The sequence below is a fragment of the Homo sapiens genome, chromosome 8 (assembly GCF_000001405.40).
Source record: "Homo sapiens chromosome 8, GRCh38.p14 Primary Assembly".
Lineage (NCBI taxonomy): Eukaryota > Metazoa > Chordata > Mammalia > Primates > Hominidae > Homo > Homo sapiens.
The window spans coordinates 145,021,727-145,047,723 of record NC_000008.11 but is presented as its reverse complement, the minus strand read 5'-3'; the positions used below and the strand labels follow the sequence as shown (position 1 = coordinate 145,047,723).

Below are 25,997 nucleotides of genomic sequence, written 5' to 3'. Positions count from 1 at the left end.
CTGGGATTACAGGCACCCACCACCAACCCTGGCCGATTTTTGTATTTTTAGTAGAGACAGAGTTTCACCATGCTGGCCAGGCTGGTCTCAAACTCCTGCCCTCAGATGTTCCACCCACCTTGGCCTCCCAAAGTGCTGGAATTACAGGCATGAGCCACCACGCCCGACCCTAGAACTTTTTAATGGTGAATTACAACTGAGCTCTAGCTGAAGGCTTTCTCTCGTTCATTACATTGACAGAGTTTCTTATCAGATAAATACTCTGATGTTCAATAAGGAGTAATTTCTGCATAACAGCTTTTCCACATACATTCACAGGGTTTCTCTCTCATGAGGCTTTTCTGATGTCTCGTTAAGTCTGAATTTAATTTGAAATTTTGGTCACACACCTGTCATTTCTGACACCTCTTCTGTAGGAACACTAGTATATATAATAGCATTTGAGCACAGACTCATGCAGCTCCTGTATTTGTTACATTTAAGACCTCTCTCCATTGCATGAGTGTTTGGATGGATCAGTATCACTGCCTGGAAATCTCTCTCTTGTAAAGAAAGGAAAATATTTGATCTGTCATCTGCAAGATGTTTGTAATGATTTTCTCAGTCTCTCTAATTTCTTTTTTTTTTTTTTTTGAGATAGAGTCTTGCTCTGTTGCCCAGGCTAGAGTGCTGTGGGGCAATCTTGGCTCACTGCACCCTCCACCTCCTGGGTCCAAGCAATTCTCCTGCCTCAGCCTCCTGAGTAGCTGGAATTACAGGCGCCTGCCACTGTGCCCAGCTACTTTTTGCATTTTTAGTAGAGACAGGGTTTCACCATATTGTCCAGGCTGGTCTCGAACTCCTGACCTCATGATCCACCTGCCTCAGCCTCCCAAAGTGCTGGGATTACAGGCGTGAGCCACCACACCTGGCCCCCAGTCTCCCTAATTTTTATAAGTTTCTTCAAGCTTGGCTTCCTGCAGAATGTTACATATAAATCTTTCCAATATCCACCTCCCACCTCAAGTGGCTCTCTTTCTTTTTTTTTTTTTTTTTTTTTTTTTTTTTTGAGATGGAGTCTTGCTCTGTCACCCAGACTGGAGTGCAGTGGTGCGATTTTGGCTCACTGCAAGCTCCGCCTCCTGAGTTCATGCCATTCTCCTGCCTCAGCCTCCCCAGCAGCTGGGACTACAGGCGCACACTGCCACGCCTGGCTACTTTTTTTGTATTTTTAGTAGAGACAGGGTTTCACCGTGTTAGCCAGGATGGTCTCGATCTCCTGACCTCATGATCAGCCTGCCTCGGCCTCCCAAAGTGCTGGGATTACAAGTGTAAGCCACAGTGTTGGGCCTCAAGTGGCTCTATTTATTTAAAAACTTCCATGTTTGTAGTTAGCTGGGTCTCAGAATCTGAAACAATCAAGAAAAAAGCATAGAAAACCATAACTAGCCAGGCGTGGTGGCTCACACGTGTAATCTCAGCACTTTGGGAGGCCGAGGCAGGTGGATCACCTGAGGTCAGGAGATCGAGACCAGCCTGGCCAACATGGTGAAACTCTGTCTCTACAAAAAATACAAAATTAGCCAGGTGTGGTGGCACATGCCTGTAATCCCCACCACTTGGGAGGCTGAGGCAGGAGAATCACTTGAGCCCGGGAGGTGGAGGTTGCAGTAAGCTGAGATTGCACCATTGTACTCCAGCCTGGGCAACAAGAGCAAAACTCCATCTCCAAAAAGAAGAAAAGAAAACCATAACTAAGAAAGTAATCAAATGAAATATGTAATACATGTAGTTATGTGGCAAACAGATTCAGGAGTATCTAAAAGCAGCCTTCCAAACACCAAGAGGTCAATAACAGTCCATGATCACCCCCAGGCAATACAGACACTTGGGGATTCTGGATTTCTTTTCATGTCTCTTAAATAGTGGTCCCTGGTACAGCTAGGTAGTAGATGAAGGCAGTTTAACTAAGCTCCATTCAGGGCCCAGTGTTTGTAGATGGTCAATGATGACACTTCATCAGGGTTATGGATGCTGTGTCTCAGCCCCATGGGACTGCTTAGGGAAAGAACACACAGGAGGAAGCTAAGGCACAGAACTGACCCCGTCACTGAGCCTAGTGCCTGCTGAGTGCTCACGCACACTGACAGTAAAAATGCCAGTATGGCCCAGTTTTAACGGAACCCACACACTTTCATGAGCTTTACCTCCTGAAGCCATAACAGGTTCTCACAGTGAAGATCTAAGAAAAAAAATCCCTTCATGCTTCCAGCAGTGGGAGGGGGAAATTAGCCATTCTGAAATATGCCCAGAGCGTATGGTTCTTCATAAAGCCCAACCTCAGGAGAAACTATTTTACCAGAGCCTAACCTGCTGAGGTTTTACCAGAGACAAACTGACCTGGGGAAAGGGAAATACCCAACTCCAACCTGCTCTAGCCTTTCTGTCTCATCTAAGGGGGATAAACCAATACAAAACTCAGAAGCACTTGTGAGGGTCACAATTTCACTGAAAGACTGAGACATACTCATAAGATTATGTGATGTTTCCCCTCCCTTCATATCTTACCCCAGCACTAGAGATCCTGAATAGTTAGGGGAGAATATAACTGAAAGAACTGTGTGTCTCAAACTTCAAGAAGTCTCTAGGATAACCCAAAGGCAACAAGGGAGACCAAAACAAGGACGCTGGAGACATTTTAGCCTCTGATACTGACAGCTGCAGCAAACAGAAAACGCAGCCTAACCGCGGGCCAGATAAAAACCTCACACTAAAGGCCTAACTATCAGTTCCTTTTAACCAGTGCATCGTATCTCACTTTCAATAAAATGTTACCACACGTTCTAGACACACAAAAAATATAGAATTTGAAAAGAAAAAGCAAGCATAAGAACCAAACTGAGCTTATGGCAGAGATGTTGGAAATATCAGACCTTGAATTTTTAAGACTATGATTAATATGCAAAGGGTTTTAATGGAAAGTGAGAACAATATGCAAGAACAGATAGGTAATATAAGCAGAGAAATGGAAACACTAAGAAAGAATCAAAAGAAAATGCTAGAAATCAAAAACATCATGACAGAAATAAAGACTGCCACCTGTAATCCCAGCACTTTGGGAAACCAAGGTGGGTGGATCACTTGAGGTCAGGAGTTTGAGACCAGTCTGGCCAAAATGGTGAAACACCATCTCTACTAAAAATTCAAAAATTAGCCGGGCATGGTGGCACACACCTGTAGTCCCAGCTACTCGGGAGTCTGAGGTAGGAGAATCATTTGAACCCAGGAGGCAGAGGTTACAGTGAGCCAGCCTGGGCAACAGAACAAGACTCCATCTCAAAACAACAACAACAAAAGGACTGGACACAACTGAAGAAAGAATCAATGATCCTGAAGACATGTCAGTAGAAACTTTCAAAATAGAAATGCTAAGAGAAAAAAAGAATAAAAAGGATGAAACAGAACATCCAAGAACTGTGGGACAACTGCAAAAGGTGTAACATATGCATATTGGGAATACCAGAAGAAGAATGAAGGAAAGGAACAGAAGAAATATTTGAGCCAATTGTAATAAAATTTTGCAAAATTAATAACATGCACCAAACCACAGTTCCAGAAAGTACAGACAACACCAGCAAGATAAATACCAAAATTCTATACACAAACATACCATATTCAAACTGCAGAAAATGAAGAACAAAAAAAATCTTCAAAGAAGCCGGAGGGCCAGACACGGTTGCTCATGCCCGCAATCCCAGTGCTTTGGGATGCCAAGGCGGGTGGATCACCTGAGGTCAGGAGTTCCAGACCAGCCTGACCAACATGGTGAAAACCCGTCTCTACTAAAAATACAAAAATTAGCCGGGTGTCGTGATGCATGCCTGTATTCCCAGCTACTTGGGAGGCCTGAGGCAGGAGAATTGCTTGAGCCTGGGAGGCAGAGGTTGCAGTGACCCGAGACTGCACCATTGCACTCCAGCCTGGCCAACAAGAGAAAAACTCCATTCAAAAAAAAAGGCAAGAAAGAAAAAAACTAAGCAAGGGTAAGCATTATATCAGTTTTATCTTCCAAAAAATGTTAAAAGTAACACCAGCCCCGATTCTGTATAAAGTGGCATTATCTTTCAAAAATGAAGGAGAAATAAAAACTCTCTCAGACAAAAATTGAGGGAATTTATTGCCCGTAGATCTAACCTTGCAAGAACTATTAAAATAACTTCTTCAGAGAGGGGGAAATGATAAATCAGAAACTAGTATCTACATAAAGAAAGGAAGAGCATTAGAGGCAAAATCAATAAAGGTAAATAAAATATTTTAGTTTTCTTATTCTCAATTATCTAATGGATAACAGTTTGTTTGAATTAATAATAGCAATGTATTTGGTGATTGTAGTGAAATGAATGATAGCAAAGTGGAGTTTTTTGTTTGTTGTTTGAGACAGAGTCCCACTCTGTTGCCCAGGCTGGAGAGCAGTGGCACGATCATGACTCACTGCAATCTCCACCTCCCAGGCTCAAGTGATCCTCCTGCCTCAGCCTCCTGAGTAGCTGGGACTACAGGCATGTGCCAATATACTTGGCTAATTTTGTTGCCCAGGCTGCTCTGGAACTCCTGGGCTCAAGCAACTGCCTGGACCTCCCAAAGTGTTGGGATTACAGACGTGAGCCACTGCACCTAGCTGATAGCAATGTTATAAGGGATGAGAGAAAAGAATTGGGAATACTCTGTTATAAGGTAATTGTACTATCTGGGAAGTAGTATAGCACTATTTGAAAAAAGACTCAGATTAGTTGTAAATGTACACTGCAAACTCAAGGGCTACTAATAATACAAAATAAGTAAAAAAATGTATACTTAATGTGATGAAAGGAAAAAACTAGAATCATACAAAATGCTCAATTAAAACCAAAGAAGGCCCAGGCACAGTGGCTCATGTCAATAATCTGAGCACTTTGGGAGGCTGAGGTGGGAGGGTTTTTTGAGCCCAGGGGTTCTAGACCAGCCTGGGAAATATAGCAAGACCCCATCCCTATAAAACATTTTAAAATTCTCTAAAGTGAAGGATAAAAAAAGAAAATAAATAAATTGTCTGGCCATGATGATGAACACTTGTAGTCCCACCTCCTTGGGAGGCTGAGTGGGGAGGATCACTTGAGCCCAGGAGTTCAAGGCTGCAGTGAGCTATGATCCTACCACTGCACTCCAGCCTGGGTCAAAGAGCAAGACCCTGTCTCTTAAAAAACAAAACAAACAAACAAACAAAAAAGAAGGCAGAAAAAGAATTGAAGACAAAAAACACACAAAGAACAATGGCAAATTATTAGAAAGCAGTAATAACTATGTTAGATATTGATCCAACTATATCAATAATCACTTTAAGGATCAATTGTCTAAATACACAAATTCAAAGACAAAGACTGTTAGAGTGGAGAAAAAACCAGACCCAGACATATGTTGTCTATAAGAAGCCAATCTTAAATATAAAGGTACAAATAGATTCAAAGGACAGAGAAAGATAAACCATGCTAACATGAACCAGAAGAAAGGCAGAGTAGCTATATTTTGGACAGGCCAGGTGTGGTGGCTTATGCCTGTTATCCTAGAATGTTAGGAGGCTGAGGCAGAGGGATCACTTGAGGCCAGGAGTTTAAGACCAGCCTGGGCAACATAATCTCTATAAATTTTTAAAATAATTATCCAGGCAGGATAATGTACTCTTATAGTCCATTGTTACCAAAACACGAGGGGTTCTGTCTAGGTCCTGCTGCTTGTCTCACAGAAAACCAATCACTCAGATAACTAGTATCGCCAGAAAAGAAGGCTTTATTCAGGTACTGTAGCTGAGGAGAATGGGAGATTAGTCTCAAATCTGTCTCCTCAATTGGCTAAATTTAGGGGTTTATATTGCAGGGAAGAAATGTAACTACATGTGAGAAAACAGGAATTAGGGAGCAGTAAGGAAGAGGATTTGGTCAACAGAAAGGAGATGGTTGGTTAGGCAATCCTGGTGGATGTTGGGGTCTGGCATCTCATTGTCTGGATGCAGTGATCTGGTAAGATTCAGTTCCTTGATACTATCTGGGAGGCCCAAGGGTCAGTTTCCTGAGGAAGGAACTCAGATAAGACAAACACAAGTTTCAAACTTTAAGACTGGGAGGATCAATTTCTTTTCTTCTTCTTCTTCTTCCTTTTTTTTTTTTTTTTTTTTTTTAGACAAAATCTTGCTGTTTTGCCAAGGCTGGAGTGCAGAGGCATGATCTCAGCTCACTGCAACTTGTGCCTCCTGGGTTCAAGCAATTGTTGTGTCTCAGTCTCCTGAGTAGCTGAGATTACAGGCATGCGCCACCATGCCTGGCTAATTTTTATTTTTAGTAGAGACAGGGTTTTGTCATTTTGGCCAGGCTGGTCTCCAACTCCTGGCCTCGAGTGATCCACCCACCTCAGCCTCCAAAAGTGCTGGGATGCAGATGTGAGCCACTGCACCCGACCTGGGAGGGTCAATTTCTTTGTTTATCCAAAAAAAAGTAAACATCAGTTCTATGGACAGTTGGGTCAATTTTACTATGATTGCCACTGCACTCCAGCCTGGGTGACAGAGCAAGGCTCTGTCTAAAAAAAAAATCCTCATAATAATTTCAGACGAAACTGACTTCATAGAAAGAAAAAAAATTATCAGGGATAAAGAAGGGAGTTACATGATCATAAAGGGATCAGTTTTCCAACAGGACATAGAAATCCTTAAGCTGTTTGCACCTAACAACAGAGGGTCAAAAAATGTGAAGGAAAAACTGATAGAACTTCAAGGAGAAATAAATGAGTCCACTATTATAGCTGGAGAATTCAACACCCTCTATCAGTAAATGACAGATTCAGCAGGCAGAAAAACAGTAAGAACATGGTTAAACTGAACAGAACCATCAATCAATTAGCTCTAACCAGCAGCTATAGAATACTTTATCCAATAATAGCACAATATACATTATTCTCAAACACACAGAACAATCACCAAGAGAGACCACATTCTGAGCCATAAAACACACCTTTATCAATTTAAAAGAATAGGGCCAGGCATGGTGGCTCACACCTGTAATCTCAGCAGTTTAGGAGGCCAAGGCAGGCAGATTGCTTGAGCCCAGGAATTCAAGACCAGCATGGGCAACATGGTGAAACCCAATCTCTACAAAAAATACAAAAATTAGCCAGGTGTGGTGGCATATGCCTTTAGTTCCAGTTACTCAGGAGACTGAGATGGGAGGATCACTTGAACGCAGGAGGCAGAGGTTTTAGTGAGCTGTGGTCACACCACTAGAGTCCAGCCTGGGGGACAGAGTGAGACCCTGCCTGAAAAAAATACATAAAGTATATGATCATACAATCTGTGGTCTCAGATGGCAAAGAAGTTAACCTGGAAATCAATGGCAGAAAGATCACTGGAAAACTCCAAAATACTTGGAGATTAAACAACACACTTCTGAATAACAGCTGGGTCAAAGAAGAATTCTCAAGTTAAATTTAGAAATATTTCAAACTAAATGAAAATGAAAATACAACTTATTTATCTCACAAAGTTGTGAGATGTGAAAGCAGTACTTAGAGATAAATTTATAGCATGGAATTCTCATATTAGAAGAAAGATACAATCAATAATGTAAGCTTCCACCTTATGAAACTAGGGAAAAAAGAATAAATCAAATCAAAGTAAGCAGAATAAATTGTTTCACCACTCACTGGGTGACCAGGTTGTGCAGCCAAGTTTATAAGATAGATAAGTGCCACTGAGGGAAGGCCTATGCATGATTTTGGGTCATTAAAACAAGTGGCACACACACCAGGCTCAAGTGGTATGTCATTTTCTTACAACAAGAGGAGAAAGAATGCACAGGATCCAGCCCTTTGCAATGCACAGTTCCCCCATTGACAGCAGTTTCACATCACAGCTGCGTTAGGCCATTCTTGCATTGCTATAAAGAAATGCCTACAACCAGGTCATTTATAAAAACAGAGGTTTAATTAGCTCATAGTTCTACATCTGCTCAGCTTCTGGGGAGGCCTCAGGAAGCTTGCAATCATGGCAGAAGGCAAGTGGGGAGCAGGCACATCACATGGAAAAATCAGGAGCAAGTAAAAGAGAGGAAAGTGCCACAGACTTTTAAACAGCCAGGTCTCAAGAGAACTCACTTACTATGGCGAGGATAGCATGGAGAGAATGATGCTAAACCATTCATGAGAAATCAACCCTCATGATCCAATCACCTTCCACCAGGCCCCATCTTCAATGCTGTGGATTACAATTCAACATGAGATTTGGGCAGGGACAAATATATGAACTATATCGACAGCCAATGTGGGCAGTGTAGCTGCACACCCCACACCCCACTTCCTGCTGCAGTAGAAGAACCCCAACTCCTCTCCCATCGGGTCTGAAACACAGAAAGCTATGGGTGTGCCTGAGATCCATCAATGCATGCACTCAAGCAGAACAGAGGACTACATATGAGTCTATAACAGGGAATAATGTCCCTGTACAAAGTAGTAAGCCCAGCACATGCTGTGAGGGCTCTTTATCTCTCTCATAAGGAAGTGTTCTGGACCCAAGGCCCATTCTTATATGATTGGGTGGAGGCTGAAAAACTACATGCACAAGACTGCCTTTCCCAACATCAATAATAAAAATTTGAGCAGAAATCAATGACATTGAAAATGGGAAACCAGCAGAGAAAATCCATGAAACCAGAAATTGACTTTTTGAAAGATCAATTCCTTTAGGTTGCCCACAGATAGACGTTACCTGCAGCCAATATACATGCTTGTGCTAGCAGAGGGATGCAAGACCAGGTACTCCTGGCTACAGCATAGTCTACCAATTAGCTTGCTAAAAAAAAACAAAAACAAAAACAAAACCCTAAGTTTTATCTGCATTTCTTGGCAGAGCACATGTGGAACCTGAATGGGACCATAATGGGTGTCACAAATGAGTAGCTGATGAAATGATGACATAACACAGAGCCCAGAAGTGGCCTGATCACACCTTATGACTTGATCTTCCTATCTCTTTTTATCTAAAGGAATACTCTTGTTGATTGCATTATACATTCCATTTGTTCCATCTTTAGCATGTCCTACAGGATACTAACTTCCTATCTACATGTAACATATCTTACTAGTCCTGCCTATAGCTCACACACTAGTTGCTTGCTCATATCTAGAGTTTTATCAATACTTCAAAAGCTACTACCTTACTAACATTTTTTATAAGTTTCATCCATCCTATTAATTTTTTCCTCTTCTATAGGCATTCACGTTACAAACAACCATTTATTTGCTCACAATTCTAAAATTTAGACTGGGCTCAGCTAGACAGTTCTTATCAACTCTCTGCTTGTGACATTTGCTTATTTCACACTGACTAAAGTCCACGGTTGGTGTGAGAAGGGCATGTATACCAGGAGGCACACTCCATTGTGGCCATTACTGTGACAATCCACAAGAGCAGCTCGGTGCTCCTTGGTGCATAAATATTCATAACTGCTAAATTTGCATTGGGAATCATAGCCTTTATCATTGTAAATTTCTTTGTATTACTTGATGCATTTTAACCTGAATTCCACCTTGTCTGATATTAAGATTACCATCTTAATGTCATGCTTTCTTCTTGTTTAGATTTCCCTGGTATACTTTGCTTATTCTTTTATTTTTAGCCTTTCAGAATCACTGTATTTTAAGAGTTGGACTTTGTTTTGTGATCCAATTTGAAACTTTATATGTATATATATATATATATACTTTTTAAATTTTTTATTTCCATAGGTTTTTAGGGAACAGGTGGTATTTTGTTACATAAGTTCTTTACTGGTGATTTGTGAGATTTTCGTGCACCCATCACCCAAGCAGTACACACTGAACCCAATTTGTAGTCTTTTATCCCTCACCCTCTTCCCACCCTTTCACTGTGAGTCAGCAAAGTCCATCATATCATTCTTATGCCTTTGCATCCTCATAGCTTAGCTCCACTTATGAGTGAGAACATACACTGTTTGGTTTTCCATTCCTAAGTTACTTCACTTAGAATAATAGTTTCCAGTCCCATCCAGGTTGCTGTGAATGCCATTAATTCATTCCAATTTGAAAAGATATATTTTTTATTTTTATTTATTTATTTATTTATTTTTGAGACAGAGTCTTGCTCTATCACCCAGCTTGGAGTACAGTGGCTTGATCACGGCTCACACAACCTCCACCTCCTGGGTTCAAGCCAGTCTCCTGTCTCAGCCTCCCAAGTATCTGGGATGACAGGCACATGCCACCATGGCTGGCTAATTTTCATATTTTGAGTAGAGACAGGGTTTCACCATATTGGTCAGGCTGGTCTTGAACTCCTGACCTTGTGATCCACCCGTCTCAGCCTCCCAAGTGCTGGGATTACAGACGTGAGCCACCACACCCAGCTCAAATCTATATACTTTCTAAAAGAGGTGAGTTAATCCCATTTGTTAAGATAGTTGTTCTTGTTTTAATTGTCATATTATATTTTGATTATATATTTGTGTTAATCTGTTACACTTTGTTATGAAGGAACACCTGAAGCTGGGTAATTTACAAAGAAAAGAGGTTTATTTGGCTCATGGTTCTTCAGGTTACACAGGAAGTATAGTGCTGGCATTTGCTCAGCTTCTGGTGAGGCCTCAGGAAGCTTTTACTCATGGAAGAAGGCTAAGAGGAAACAGGCATGTCACATGGCAAGAAAGGGAGCAAGAGAGAGGAGCCAGCCTCTTTTAAACAACCAGCTCTCTATGAAGTAACAAAGTGAGAACTCATTCATTACCTCCAGGAAGGCATCAAGCCATTCATGAGGGATCCATCCCCAAACACCTTCCACTAGGTCCCACCTCCAACTTTGGGGATCACATTTCAACATGAAATTCAGAGGGGACACACATCCAAACCATAGCAATATTAACTCTTTCTTTCCCTTTCAATCCTTTTTATTGTTGTTTCCAATATTTAGCAAGATTTTAATTTCTGTTCCAGTTGTCACCTTTATAGTTTTATATGGCACTCTGAGTCCTCTCATTAGGTAGCATTTTGAAGGTAATAGCCAGGAGTGGGCGCAAAGGAGGCTTTGGGTGCTAATCTGCTCTGCATTTTTATGTGGATAGTGGTTACTTTCTTGTTCACATACTCAAAATTGAGTTGTACATATTTATGATTTAAGTACTTTTCTGAATGCATATTTCAATATGTATAATTGAAGAGTGCTGAATTACACTTTGGGAGGCTGAGGCAGGTGGATCACCTGAGGTCAGGAGTTCAAGACCAGCCTGACCAATATGGTGAAACCCCATCTCTACTAAAATTACAAAAATTAGCCAGGCATGGTGGCATGTGCCTGCAGTACCAGCCACTTGGGAGTCTGAGGCAGGAGAATCGCTTCAGCCTGGGAGGTGGAGGTTGCAGTGAGCCAAGATCACACCACTGCACTCCAGCCTGGGCAACAGAGTGAGACTCCATCTCAAAAAAAAAATGCTGAATTATATGGAACCAAGCAGAAGAAGCAAAGAGGACAGGACTAGGCTGCCTGGAGTATGCTGCCATTAGCCCATAGGTTGCCACTGCTGGCTGGGGTGGCCAGCTTTTTTTCCCTTGTTTGTGCCTGCCCATGTCCTGCTGATTGGTCCATTTTACAGAGTGCTGATTGGTCCATTTTACAGAGTGCTAATTGGTCTATTTTACAAATCTCTAGCTAGCTACAGAGTGCTGATTGGTGCATTTTTACAAAGCACTGATTGGTGCATTTTACAAACCTCTTGTAAAACAGAAAAGTTCTCCAAGTCCCCACTCAAACCAGGAAGTCAAGCTGGCTTCACCTCTCAATCCCCCCTTTAAACGGGACACCCCACTGCTGTTGGGAATTGGCCAATGACCACTCTAGCTACTTCCTGCTGGATAGGGGTGAAGACGGGGCCCTCCAGTGGTAGTGTCCTCAGAAGGGAACTCTCTAGGCCAGCCAAAGAGCCAGTGGGTCAATCCAGGGGTCCTCGGTAGAAGTTTTGAGTTGAACTCATTTGGGGTTCCATTTGTAAGTCCATCTGTAGCTTGATGGCCTCAATCCTGAAGGAAACAAATTTGGCAAGGAGGTTAAAAATACAGGGCCCAAAAGTGAATAATAGCAAGATGGCTTTCACAGGACCTAGAAAGGGGAGAAGCCATGTCACCCAACTCCAGAGGTTGGTATAAGAGTTTGAGAGGCATTATCTGATTTCAGAAGCCTTTTCCTGTAAACACCAGATGGCATCTCATACTATCCCTGACTGGTTAGTGTAAAAGCAACACTCTTCCCCTAAGAAGGTGCAAAGTCCTCCTTTCTCAGCAGTGAGGAGGCCTAGGCCTCAGCAGTTTTGGACAGTCACTGCTGCCAAAGAGTTTATTTGGGATTATAGAGTAAGGATAGATTTTGTTATTTATTGCGAACTGAGAAATCCTTTGAGAGTGTGTGGTAGTAGGATAATGAAGTTGATAAACCTGCTATTCTGGTTCCAGTAGCAGTGGCCATTTCTAACCCTATAAGTAGGGGTAGTAGTTGTATGGCCCTGCACTGATGGACTTGAGCTTTGAGGGGCACTGATGTGGTCTGATTTCCACAAGATAAGAAGTTAGAATAATAAATATTACACTGTTAACTTTTAGCAAACTACTTTTGTTGAAAACCTTGGAAGTTTGGGATTTCAATTATTCTTTGCTATTAATAAGACCTCGTTCAGTCCATGTTAACTTAGAATTGGTATAGATCCTCTTTCCTGATTCTGTAAGTACTTTAAGGTTTAGCTGAGTGCAAACAACTCACACATTTGAGCAGACCAATTATTAGGCAATTTTCCTAACTCTGCTTCTACAAGAGTTTCCTTATCACTTACTGAATACCCATTGTGTCTTTTTCCCTTAATCGCCTGGAAGGAACCATCTATTATCCTGTCCTGAAGGGAGTTCCTCTTAGGTATGTTCAGACCTTTGTATGGTAATTAATTTAGATCCCCTGTTAGGAAACCTGCTGGGTTAAGGATTTTTGATAGGAATGCTATGGGTTGTCAGTGGCCTCAGTGCTTTCGGGCTATACCCTTGTTTACACTGACAACAAGGTGGTATTGGAGAAGACTTTTTTTTTCTGTATATATATATTTTTTATTATACTTTAAGTTTTAGGGTACATCTGCACAATGTGCAGGTTAGTTACATATGTATACATGTGCCATGCTGGTGTGCTGCACCCATTAACTCATCATTTAGCATTAGGTATATCTCCTAATGCTATCCCTCCCCCCTCCCCCCACCCCACAACAGTCCCCAGAGTGTGGTGTTCCCCTTCCTGTGTCCATGTGTTCTCATTGTTCAATTCCCATCTATGAGTGAGAACATGCGGTGTTTGGTATTTTGTCCTTGCGACAGTTTACTGAGAATGATGATTTCCAATTTCATCCATGTCCCTACAAAGGACGTGAACTCATCATTTTTATGGCTGCATAGTATTCCATGGTGTATATGTGCCACATTTTCTTAATCCAGTCTATCATTGTTGGACATTTGGGTTGGTTCCAAGTCTTTGCTATTGTGAATAATGCCGAAATAAACATACGTGTGCATGTGTCTTTATAGCAGCATGATTTATAGTCCTTTGGGTATACACCCAGTAATGGGATGGCAGGGTCAAATGGTATTTCTAGTTCTAGATCCCTGAGGAATCACCACACTGACTTCCACAATGGTTGAACTAGTTTACAGTCCCACCAACAGTGTTAAAGTGTTCCTATTTCTCCACATCCTCTCCAGCACCTGTTGTTTCCTGACTTTGTAATGATTGCCATTCTAACTGGTGTGAGATGGTATCTCATTGTGGTTTTAAATCAATTATCAATTATAGGTTTTAAATTTGCCCTGGCTTTTAAAGGAATAGGGTACACTGTTTTTTCTTTAATACTTCTCTCTCTCTTTCTTTGACTTTCTGTCTCTCTGTTTCTCTCTTTGACTTTGTCTCTTTCTCTCTTTCTCTGACTCCCTCTTTGTCTGTCTCTTCCTCTCCTTCTCTTTGACTTTCTGTCTCTCTTTCTTTCTCTCTGACTTCCTCTTTGTCTCTTCCTCTCTCTCTTTCCTTCTCTCTTTTTCTGTCTTTCCCTCTCTCTATCCCTCTCTCTTTCCTTCTCTCTTTGACTTTCTGTCTTTCCTCTCTCTCCCTCTCTCTCTCTTTCCTTCTCTTTGTCCTTCTCTTTGTCAAGTGCCCTGCCAGCCACTTATGCTGCTGTTCTCTGCTCTCCTTCCTCTTTTTGATGGCTTTGCAGTGTAAGACTGCCACCTCCTTGGGTTTTTGCACTGCGTGCAATAACTCCAAGATTTCCTTGTGGTATTTAATGGGGGTTCCCCCAGAGGTTAGGAACTCCCTTTTTTTCCATATTGCAGCATGGGCATGTAGGATTACATAAGCATGATTGCTATCTGTATACACATTTATTCTTTTTCCCTTTCCCAGTCCTAAGGCTTGGGTAAGTGCCACTAGTTCTGTTAACTGGGCACTGGTCCCTGGGGGAAGAGGCTTACTTTCAAGTACCGTTACATCACTAACTATGGCATAACCTGCCCTTCATATCCAATTCTCCACAAATGAACTTCCATTGGTATATAGGTTAGGGTCAGGATTAACTAAGGGGACTTCTAAGAGATCCTCTCAGTGGCATAAGTCTGGACTATAATTTGTTGGCAGTAGTGCTCAACTGGTCCTCCATCCTCTGGGAGAAAGGTGACAGGGTTTAGGGCTGCACATGTGCATATTTGAAGCACCAGTCCCTCAAGGTGTAGCAGCTGGTATCTAAGCAGGCAGTTGTCTGATAGCCATAAACTACCTTTGGCACCTATTATGCCATTTACATCATGAGTAGTCCAGATGGTGAGATCCTTTCCTTGTATTATTTTCATAGCCTCTGATACTGAGATTGCCACTGCCACAACTACCCATAAACAGTGAGGCCAGCCTTTTTTCCACTGTTGGGGAAACCAGCCCCACAACACCCAGTGGGTACCCCAAATCCAGCAGAGACAAAGGAGTTGGAAAGAGACAGAATAAGCATTTAAAAGGCAGGTCCAGGGGACAAGAGTGTTGGAGGCTTGCTCATGGCCCAGAGCTCTCAGGCTCTGCCCAATTTATTGGTCTACAAGCTCTTTGTTCTTAAGGCAGATGGGAGGGGGAGGAAGGGGTGGGAAAAAGGATTAATCAGTGAAGGAGAACTCGTGAGTCATTCGATAAGATGTATAGCAGTGGCGGTTTCTGTGAATTTCCTTGAGCAGAGGTGTATGTCTAAACTACTTAAGATCTTGCGGGTTTCAGGAGGAGCCAAGATGTTTGATTATACTCCACTGCTTCAAGGGAGTGTTATCTCCCTGAGCAACCTGTGGAATGCTGCTGAGCAGTTATGCTCTCAGGGCATAAAGACATGAAGGCAATAAGGAGACTTTTCCCCCCAGAGGCTGCCCATGGCTTCCCATGGGTGTCTCACACAGGGGAGACCAACTCAACTGGCACCCTAGAAACTCTCTTTCCCACATGTCCCCCTTTTTTGTCTTTATTAATTTTTTTTGATTAATAACTGCCATTGCTATCATGGCTCATTCACGGTGTCTGGCTTCTCTCCCAAGGCATCATCCACATCTGTAGACTAAAAACAAACAGCATAAACAGACACAAACCAAAATAAAATTTGCAATTGTTGATCCACCTATGGTTTTAATCCACTTTAAAGGATTGGTATTAGAAAGGCCATCAGCAGCTCCAGCAAGAATATCATCTCCAGGCAACAGGGTGAGATGAACCTTAGATGTCTCAAAAACATGTTTTTCCAGTTTAGCAATATCTAATGATAAATTATCTTCTTTTCCTTGTAGGTGACATCTAATCATCTCCCAATGGTGTTCACTGGCATTGTAAGAGCTAGGAGTAATACAAAAATCAGAAGTATTCCAATCACGTTGCATTTGAATTCTATGCTCCAAGCTCATAATCCAATCTCCCATCCACATTACTGTTTGATGGAGATCATTAATTTGATTTGCCAATTTTTGATCTATTTGGCTTTGGGGATTCCAAAGCTTAGAAGAATTTTTCTGCCAACTATCCACAAAGCCCACAGTTTGAATAGAAGTGTGCAAAGCAACACCAGCAACAGCAGCAGCAGCTGTGACAGCTATAAGGCCCATGATCACAGCTATTAAAGTAAATATGCATCTCTTTTATCTATTAAGTATTCCTTTTAGTAATTCAGTGATAATATGTATGGAGGGAGAGGACTCCCAAGGTCTATTGAGGGAAATAGGTATCCAAACTCCTTCTCAGGCCCTAACCAGTAAAATGTTATTATCTTTATTAAAGGTAGAATTAATGCAGGTAAAAAGATGACAGTTGAGGAATGATATGGTTTGAGAGTCAGGTAGGATATTAATTTTTCCCACTGCCAACATAAGAGGAGGTTTAACACAACTCTGCAATGGGACCATCTGATTAGAAGTCATGGCTACAACAAATTGAAGTTTTTACTATGGGTCTCTGTTTTATATTCTCCTTTCCAAATCCGAATTGGGTTTGAGCCATCATTAATTTCCACAATTCTGGATGTTCTGGACTTATAATTGGATCAATTATTTTGGGGCTTGAAGGAGCCATACCATTCCCCTCCCACTTAATAGGGAAATGTGCTTCCATTCTTCTATATAATTTTGGTGCATAATCTGGGTGGTCGTTTGCAAAAGGAGTCTCTCTACAATCTTCACGCTGTCCAGTACAATTTACTGCAAAGCCTCTCCTAGGGGCCAAATCAATGATGATTCCATAGGAATTATTTTGCAGTACAGCATCGCTGTTTGCAATACAATCTTCCCAGGTTAGCACCTCTAGCTTTCCAGACCATTTAGTGGCCTGCCTAGGGCAGGGCTTCTTATTAGGTTTAAATTTATTAATCTGGTGATGTGTCATAACATAGCCGTGCACAAGGTATTTAATAGTGTCCAAAGATTGAAATGTTCTTCCACTGATTACATGAATACAGGCTTTTGATCCACTATGTGCAGGGACATAAACCATCCAACTTTATTTATCATAATTTAAACATCCTCCTGTCGGCCCCAGGCAGATGGGAGGAAAGTGATAAGCAATGGAAACATTCATTAACATTCCTTCCTCCTCTGGATGAGTAGGACCTCGGTTGCCTGTTGGTCCAGGCATCCAGACACTATCATTAACATAAACCTCCACCAGGAAGTCTAACCATGTAACAGGCCTAATCAGTGGTGGGAATGGAATGTAGGCCCAATAATTGTAATTTTGATCTGCCTCAGCTATGGGGAGACTCACCACCAGGGAGATTACTGTCATCATAGCTACCATTAGATTACTGGTGGTCAGCGGCTTATTCTGAGACCTCAGGTTCTCTTCTGTAATATGAGCTAGTCTCTTCATCTGCCCCCAGGTCGGTGGAGTTACTTGGTGGGTTTTACTGGTTTCCATCTGCTCAACAGAGATGTTCATCTGAGCCATCTGATGAACTGGGGGTGAAGGGATATTCCAAGGTCTTTACCTCTTCCTTGGATTCTGGCTTATGGCACAGCTTAAGATGTCTTATGTGTACCCAGACAGGAAGCTGATTCTCTCCCGGTGAGATACAAGAAAACGCTTGACCCCAAGTAATGATTTTGCCCTTTTCCCAGGTTTTGATTCTGACTTCCTTCCACCACACATGTTTTCCTTCATGACGATTTATTTTTGCCCTGACAAATGCTGTTCTGCTGTTGTTGTAACCTTATCTTTAGACAAATTCAAAAAATTTAAAGTGATAAGAGCAAATTGTAGCTGCATATGGGGAGTAGAGTATTCTCTGGTTCCCCCCTCTGTCTTTTGTTTTTGTAATTGAGATTTTAAGGTTTGATTAGCCCATTCAACAATGGCTTGGCCTTGAGAATTATAGGGTATTCCAGTACTGTGCTCAATGTACCATTGTTGAAGGAACGCTTGTAAAGATTTACTACAGTAGCCTGGGCCATTGTCTGTTTTAATCTTTTGTGGGAGGCCCATGGCAGCAAAACAGGAAAGTAAATATCTTTTAATACGAGCAGCCGCCTCGCCTGTTTGGCAAGTTGCCCACACAAAATGAGAAAAGGCATCTATAGTAACATGGACGTATGAAATTTCCCAAACGAAGGTACGTGGGTTACATTCACTTGCCCCAACATATTACGGGTTAATCCCTGTGGGTTAACATGAGTCCCTTCATGTGGCAGTTATAGTACCTGGCACTGAGGGTAATGTTGTACAATGTCCTTTGCCTGTCTCCAAGTAATCTGATATTTTTGTTTAAGTCCTGCTGTATTAACATGTGTTTCACAAGGAGTGAAAATCTTGGGCATTAGTAAGCACAGTTGAAACTAGTAAATCAGCTTGACCATTAGCCCTTACAAGGGGCCCAGGAAGATTAGTGTGTGCTTGAATGTGTGTAATATAGAAAGGAAAACAGCGATCATGCACTGTCTTTTGTAAAGAAGAAAACAGCTGATAGAGTTGTTCACCCACAAGATATTTAATGAGTGCAGTTTCTATGTATTGAATGGCTTGAACAACATAAGGTGAATCAGAGACAATATTTACAGGTTGCTTAAAGTCTTCTAACACAGCTATAACTGTCTGTAATTTAGCCCTTTGTGCCCATTGAAAGTCAGTTTGAATAATTTTGTTTTTAGGTCCTATATAAGCTGCTTTTCCATTGCTAGAGCCATCTGTAAACACAGTGACTCCTCCTTCCAATGGAGCACTATTGGTAATTTTTGGAAGGACCCATGTTGTTAGCTTTAAAAACTGAAAAATCTTCTTTTTTGGATAATGATTGTGGTAGAGAAAAGAGAGATCAGACTGTTACTGTGTCTATGTAGAAAGGGAAGACATAAGAGACTCCATTTTGAAAAAGACCTGTACTTTGAACAATTGCTTTGCTCAGATGTTGTTAATTTGTAGTTTTGCCCCAGCCACTTTGACCCAACCTGGAGCTCACAAAAACATGTGTTGTATGAAATCAAGGTTTAAGGGACCTAGGGCTGTGCAGGACGTGCCTTGTTAACAAAATGTTTACAAGCAGTATACTTGGTAAAAGTCATCGCCATTCTCTAGAGTCAACAAACCAGGGGCATAATCCACTGCGGAAAGCCGCAGGGACCTCTGTTCTTGAAAGCTGGGTATTGTCCAAGGTTTCTCCCCATATGATAGTCTGAAATATGACCTCATGGGATGAGAAAGACCTGACCATCCCCCAGCCTGACACCCATAAAGGGTCTGTGCTGAGGTGGATTGGTAAAAGAGGAAAGCCTCTTGCAGTTGAGATAGAGGAAGGCCACCATCTCCTACCTGCCCCTGGGAACTGAAGGTCTTGGTATAAAACCCGATTGTACATTTGTTCAATTCTGAGATAGGAGAAAAACTGCCCTATGGTGGGAGGCGAGACATGTTGGCAGCAATGCTGCCTTGTTATTCTTTACTCCACTGAGATGTTTGGGTGGAGAGAAACATAAATCTGGCCTACGTGCCCATCCAGGCATAGTACCTTCCCTTGAACTTAATTATGACATAGATTCTTTTATTCACATGTTTTTTGCTGACCTTCTCCTTATTATCACCCTGCTCTCCTACTACATTCCTTTCTGCTGAAATCATGAAAATAATAATCAATAAAAACTGAGGGAACTCAGAGACCGGTGCTGGTGCAGGTCCTTGGTGTGCTGAGTGCCGCTCTCCTGGGCCCACTGTTGTTTCTCTATACTTTGTCTCTCTGTCTTATTTCTTTTCTCAGTCTCTCATCCCACCCAACTAGAAATACTCACAGGTGTGGAGGGGCAGGCCACCCCTTCATCTGCCACCCAACGTGGGTGCCTTTCTCTAGGGTGAAGCTATGCTAAGAATGTGAGCATCGAGGACAGCCGACGAGAGATTCCCGAGTACGTCCACGGTCAGCCTTCCGGTAACCTTGTGCACTCAGAGGAATCCAGGGTAACAATGGGGCAAACTGAAAGTAAATATGCCTCTTATCTCAGCTTCATTAAAATTCTCTTAAGAAGAGGGGGAGTTAAAGCTTCTACGGAAAATCTAATTACACTGTTTCAAACAACAGAACAATTCTGCCCATGGTTTCCAGAACAGGGAACTTTAGATTTAAAAGATTGGGAAAAAATTGGCAAATAATTAAAACAAGCAAGTAGGGAAGGTAAAATCATCCCACTTACAGTATGGAATGATTGGGCCATTATTAAAGCAACTTTAGAACCATTTCAAACAGGAGAAGATAGCGTTTCAGTTTCTGATGCCCCTGAAAGCTGTGTAATAGATTGTGAAGAAGAGACAGGAACAGAGTTCAAGAAAGGAATGGAAAGTTCACATTATAAAAATGTAGTAGAGTCTGTAATGGCTCAGTCAATGCAAAATGTTGACTATAATCAATTACAGGAGGTAATATATCCTGAATCATCAAAATTGGGGGAAGGAGGTCCAGAATTATTCGGGCCATCAGAGTTTAGACCACGATGGCCACCAACTCCTTCTCCTGTGGTTCAGATGCCTGTGACATTACAACCTCAAATGCCAATACAGACACAGTATCTACAATATCAGCTGGTTGAAAATAAAACCCAACCACTGGTAGTTTATCAACACTGGCCGCCAGCCGAATTTCAGTATCGGCCATCTCCAGAGGTGCAGTATAGATCCCAGATGGGATCCTGTGCCAAATAGTAGGGCACTATATCAACAACCCACGGCGATGGTGTTTGATCCTACAGTACCAGCTAGTGGACAAGATAGTGCACTGCATGAGACCGTTGATACAGCCAGAAAACAGGGAGATCTTGAGGCATGGCAGTATCCGGTAATGTTACAACCGATACCGGCCGGGAAAGGGCCAGGAAAGGGAGTCAAGCAGGAGCGTCTGTCCGAACGGAGGCTAGGTAAGAATATTTCACCATGAAAATGTTAAAAGACATAAAGGAAGGAGCTAAACAATATGGACCCAACTCTCCTTATATGAGAACGTTATTAGATTCCATTGCTCATGGAAATAGACTTATTCCTTATGATTGGGAAATTTTACCTAAATCTTCCCTTTCACCCTCTCAGTATCTACAGTTTAAAACCTGGTGGATTGATGGAGTACAAGAACAGGTACGGAAAAATCAGGCTACTTATCCTGTTGTTAATATAGATGCAGACCAATTGCTAGGAACACGTCCAAATTGGAGCACTATTAACCAACAATCAGTAATGCAAAATGAGGCTATTGAACAACTAGGGGCTATTTGCCTCAGGGCCTGGGAAAAGATTCAGGACCCAGGAACCAGTTAGAGACAGTTTTCAGACTGTTATATCATTCATTATGTTGATGATATTTTGTGTGCTGCAGAAACAAGAGACAAATTAATTGACTTTTACATGTTTCTGCAGACAGAGGTTGCAAACACAGGCCTGACAATAGCATCTGATAAGATTCAGACCTCCACTCCTTTTAATTATTTGGGAATGCAGGTAGAGGAAAGAAAAATTAAACCACAAAAAATAGAAATAAGAAAAGACACATTAAGAACATTAAATGACTTTCAAAAATTGCTAGGAGATATTAATTGGATTGGGCCAACTCTAGGCATTCCTACTTATGCCATGTCAAATTTGTTTTCTATCTTGAGAGGGGATCCAGACTTGAATGGTAAAAGAACAATAACTCCAGAGGCAACTAAAGAAATTGAATTAGTTGAAGAAAAAATTAATTCAGCACAAGTAAATAGAATAGATCACTTAGCCCCACTCCAATTTTTGATTTTTGCTACTGCACATTCTCCAACAGGCATTATTGTTCAAAATACAGATCTTGTGGAGTGGTCATTCCTTCCTCACAGTACAGTTAAGACTTTTACATTGTACTTAGATCAAATGGCTACATTAATTGGTCAGACAAGACTACGAATAGTAAAATTGTGTGGAAGTGACCCAGATAAAATCATTGTTCCTTTAAACAAGGAACAGGTTAGACAAGCCTTTATCAATTCTGCTGCATGGCAGATTGGTCTAGCTGATTTTGTGGGAATTATTGATAATCATTACCCAGAAACAAAAATCTTCCAGTTTTTAAAATTGACTACTTGGATTTTACCTAAAATTACCAGACAAAAACCTTTAGAAAATGCTCTGACAGTGTTTACTGATGGTTTCAGCAATGGAAAAGTGGCTTACACTGGGCCAAAAGAATGAGTCATTGAAACTCAATATCACTCAGCTCAAAGAGCAGAATTGGTTGCTGTCACTTCAGTGTTACAAGATTTTAATCAGCCTATTAACATTGTTTCAGATTCTGCATATATAGTACAGGCTACAAAGGCTACAAAGCTCTAATCAAATATAGTATGGATTATCAGTTAAATCATCTGTTTAAATTGTTACAACAAACTGTAAGAAAAAGAAATTTCCCAGTTTATATTACTCATATTCGAGCACATACTAATTTACCAGGGCAATTAACTAAGGAAAATGAACAAGCTGACTTGCTAGTATCATCTGCCTTGATGGAAGCACAAGAACTTCATGTCCTGACTCATGTAAATGCAACAGGATTAAAAAATAAATTTGATATCACATGGAAACAGGCAAAAAATATTGTACAACATTGTGCTCAGTGTCAAGTCTTACACCTGCCCACTCAGGAGGCAGGAGTTAATCTCAGAGATTTATGTCCTAATGCATTATGGCAAATGGATGTCACACATGTACCTTCATTTGGAAAATTGTCATTTGTCCGCGTGACAGTTGATACTTATTCACATTTCATATGGGCAACCTGCCAGACAGGAGAAAGTACTTCCCATGTTAAAATACATTTATTATCTTATTTTGCTGTCATGGGAGTTCCAGAAAAAATTAAAACAGATAATGGGCCAGGATACTGTAGTAAAGCATTTCAAAAATTCTTAAATCAGTGGAAAATTACACATACAACAGGAATCCCTTATAATTCCCAAGGACAGGCCATAATTGAAAGAACTAATAGAACACTCAAAGCTCAATTGGTTAAACAAAAAAGGGAAAAAGACAGTAAGGAGTATAACACTTCCCAGATGAACTTAATCTAGCACCCTATACTTTAAATTTTTTAAACATTTATAGAAATCAGACCACTACTTCTGCAGAACAACATTTTACTGGTAAAAAGAACAGCCCACATGAGGGAAAACTGATTTGGTGGAAAGACAACAAAAGTAAAACTTGGGAAACAGGGAAGGTGATAACATGGGGGAGAGGTTTTTCTTGTGTTTCACCAGGAGAAAATCAGCTTCCTGTTTGGATACCCACTAGACATTTGAAGTTCTACAATAAACCCATCCCATCAGAAATGCAAATAAAAGTGCCTCCACAGAGACAAAAAACCTGCAGTTGAGCATCATCGACCCACCAGGTGAACAAAATGGTGATATCAGAAGAACAGATGAAGTTGCCATCCACCAAGAAAGCGGAGCCGCCAACCTGGGCCCAGCTAAAGAAGCTGACACAGTTAGCTGAAAAAAGTCTGAAAAACACAAGGGTAACACAAACTCCAGAGAATATGCTGCTTGCAGCTTTAATGATTGTATCAATGGTGGTAAGTCTCCCTATGTCTGCAGGAGCCGCTACAGCTAACTATACTTACTGGGCCTATGTGCCTTTCCGACCCTTAATTCGGGCAGTCACTTGGATAGATAATCCTATTGAAGTATATGTTAATAATAGTGCATGGGTACCAGGCCCCACAGATGACCGTGGCCCTGCCCAACCTGAAGAAGAAGGAATGATGATAAACATTTCCATTGGGTATCATTATCCTCCTATTTGCCTGGGAAAAGCACCGGGATGCTTAATGCCTACAAACCAAAATTGGTTGGTAGAAGTACCTACTGTCAGTGCTACCAGTAAATTCACTTATCACAGGTAAGTGAAATGTCACTCGGGTCACAAATAAATAATTTACAGGATTCTTCCTATAAAAGATCATTAAAATTTAGGCTTAAGGGAAAATCTTGCCCCAAGGAAATTCCAAAAGAATAAAAAGACTCAGAAGTCTTAGTTTGGGAAGAATGTGTGGCTGATACTGCGGTGGTATTACAAAACAATAAATTTGGAACTATTATAAACTGGGCCGCTTGAGGCCAATTATATTATGATAGTACAGGCCAGACCCACTCATGTTCACAGGCTCCATCAGTCTGGCCCACTAATCCGGCCTATGATAGTGATTTAACTAAAAGGCTAGACCAGGTTTATAGAAGGCTAGAATCACCCTATCCATGGAAATGGGGTGAAAAGGGGATTTCATCACCCCGCCCAAAGTTAGTTAGTCCTGTTGTTGCTCCTGAACACCCAGAATTATGGAAGCTCACTGTGGCCTCATACCACATTAGAATTTGGTCTGGAAATCAAGTTATGGGAACAAGAAATCATAAACCATATTTTACTATTAACCTAAAATCCAATCCGACAATTCCTTTGCAAAGTTATGTAAAACCCCCTCATATGCTAGTTGTAGGAAACATAGTTATTAAACCAGATTCCCAAACTATAACCTGTGAAAATTGTAGATTGTTTACTTGCATTGATTCAACTTTTGATTGGCAGCATCGTATTCTGTTAGTGAGGGCAAGAGAGGGTGCGAGGATCCCTGTGTCCATGGACCGACCGTGGGAGGCTTCTCCATCCGTACATATCTTAACAGAAGTATTAAAAGGAGTTCTAACTAGATCTAAAAGATTCATTTTTACTTTAATTGCAGTGATTATGGGTCTTATTGCAGTCACAGCTGCTGCTAGGGCTGCTGTAATTGCTTTACCCTCCTCTGTTCACACTGCAGAATATGTGAATAATTGGCAAAAGAATTCCTCAAAATTGTGGAATTCTCAGACTCAAATAGATCAAAAATTGGCAAATCAAATTAATGATCTTAGACAAACTGTCATTTGGATGGGAGATAGGCTCATAAGTTTGGAATATCTTTTTCAGTTACTGTGTGACTACAATACATCAGATTTTTGTATTACACCTCAAGCCTATAATGAATCTGAACATCACTGGGACATGGTTAGATGCCATCTACAAGGAAGAGAAGATAATCTTACTTTAGATATTTCAAAATTGAAAGAACAAATTTTTAAAACATCCAAAGCCCAGTTAAATTTGGTGCCAGAAACTGAGGCAATGGAAAAAGCTGTTGATAGCCTCACGAATCTTAAACCTGTCACTTGGGTTAAAACCATTGGAAATTCCACTATTGCAAATTTTGTATTAATCCTTGTATGTCTGTCCTCTCTATTGTTAGTCTACAGGTGTATCCAGCAGCTCCGGAGAGACAGCGGCTAGCGAGAACGGACCATGATGATGATGGCGGTTTTGTCAAAAAGAAAAGGGGGATATGTAGGGAAAAGAGAGAGAGATCAGACTGTTACTGTGTCTATGTAGAAAGGGAAGACATAAGAGACTCCATTTTGAAAAAGACCTGTACTTTGAACAATTGCTTTGCTCAGATGTTGTTAATTTGTAGTTTTGCCCCAGCCACTTTGACCCAACCTGGAGCTCATAAAAACATGTGTTGTATGAAGTCAAGGTTTAAGGGATCTAGGGCTGTGCAGGATGTGCCTTGTTAACAAAATGTTTACAAGCAGTATACTTGGCAAAAGTCATTGCCATTCTCTAGTGTCAACAAACCACAGGCATAATGCACTGCAGAAACCCACAGGGAACTCTGCCCTTGAAAGCTGGGTATCGTCCAAGGTTTCTCCCCATGTGATAGTCGGAAATATGGCCTCATGAGATGAGAAAGACCTGACTGTCCCCCAGCCCGACACCCGTAAAGGGTCTGTGCTGAGGTGGATTGGTAAAAGAGGAAAGCCTCTTGCAGTTGAGATAGAGGAAGGCCACTGTCTCCTGCCTGCCCCTGGGAACTGAA

General features: G+C 41.4%; 1 pseudogene; it reads left to right on the top strand.

The window, feature by feature from the left end:
• LOC124902043 (endogenous retrovirus group K member 6 Env polyprotein-like) lies at positions 14,217 to 25,510 on the top strand (annotated as a pseudogene).
• The last annotated feature ends 487 nt before the right edge of the window (positions 25,511 to 25,997 follow it).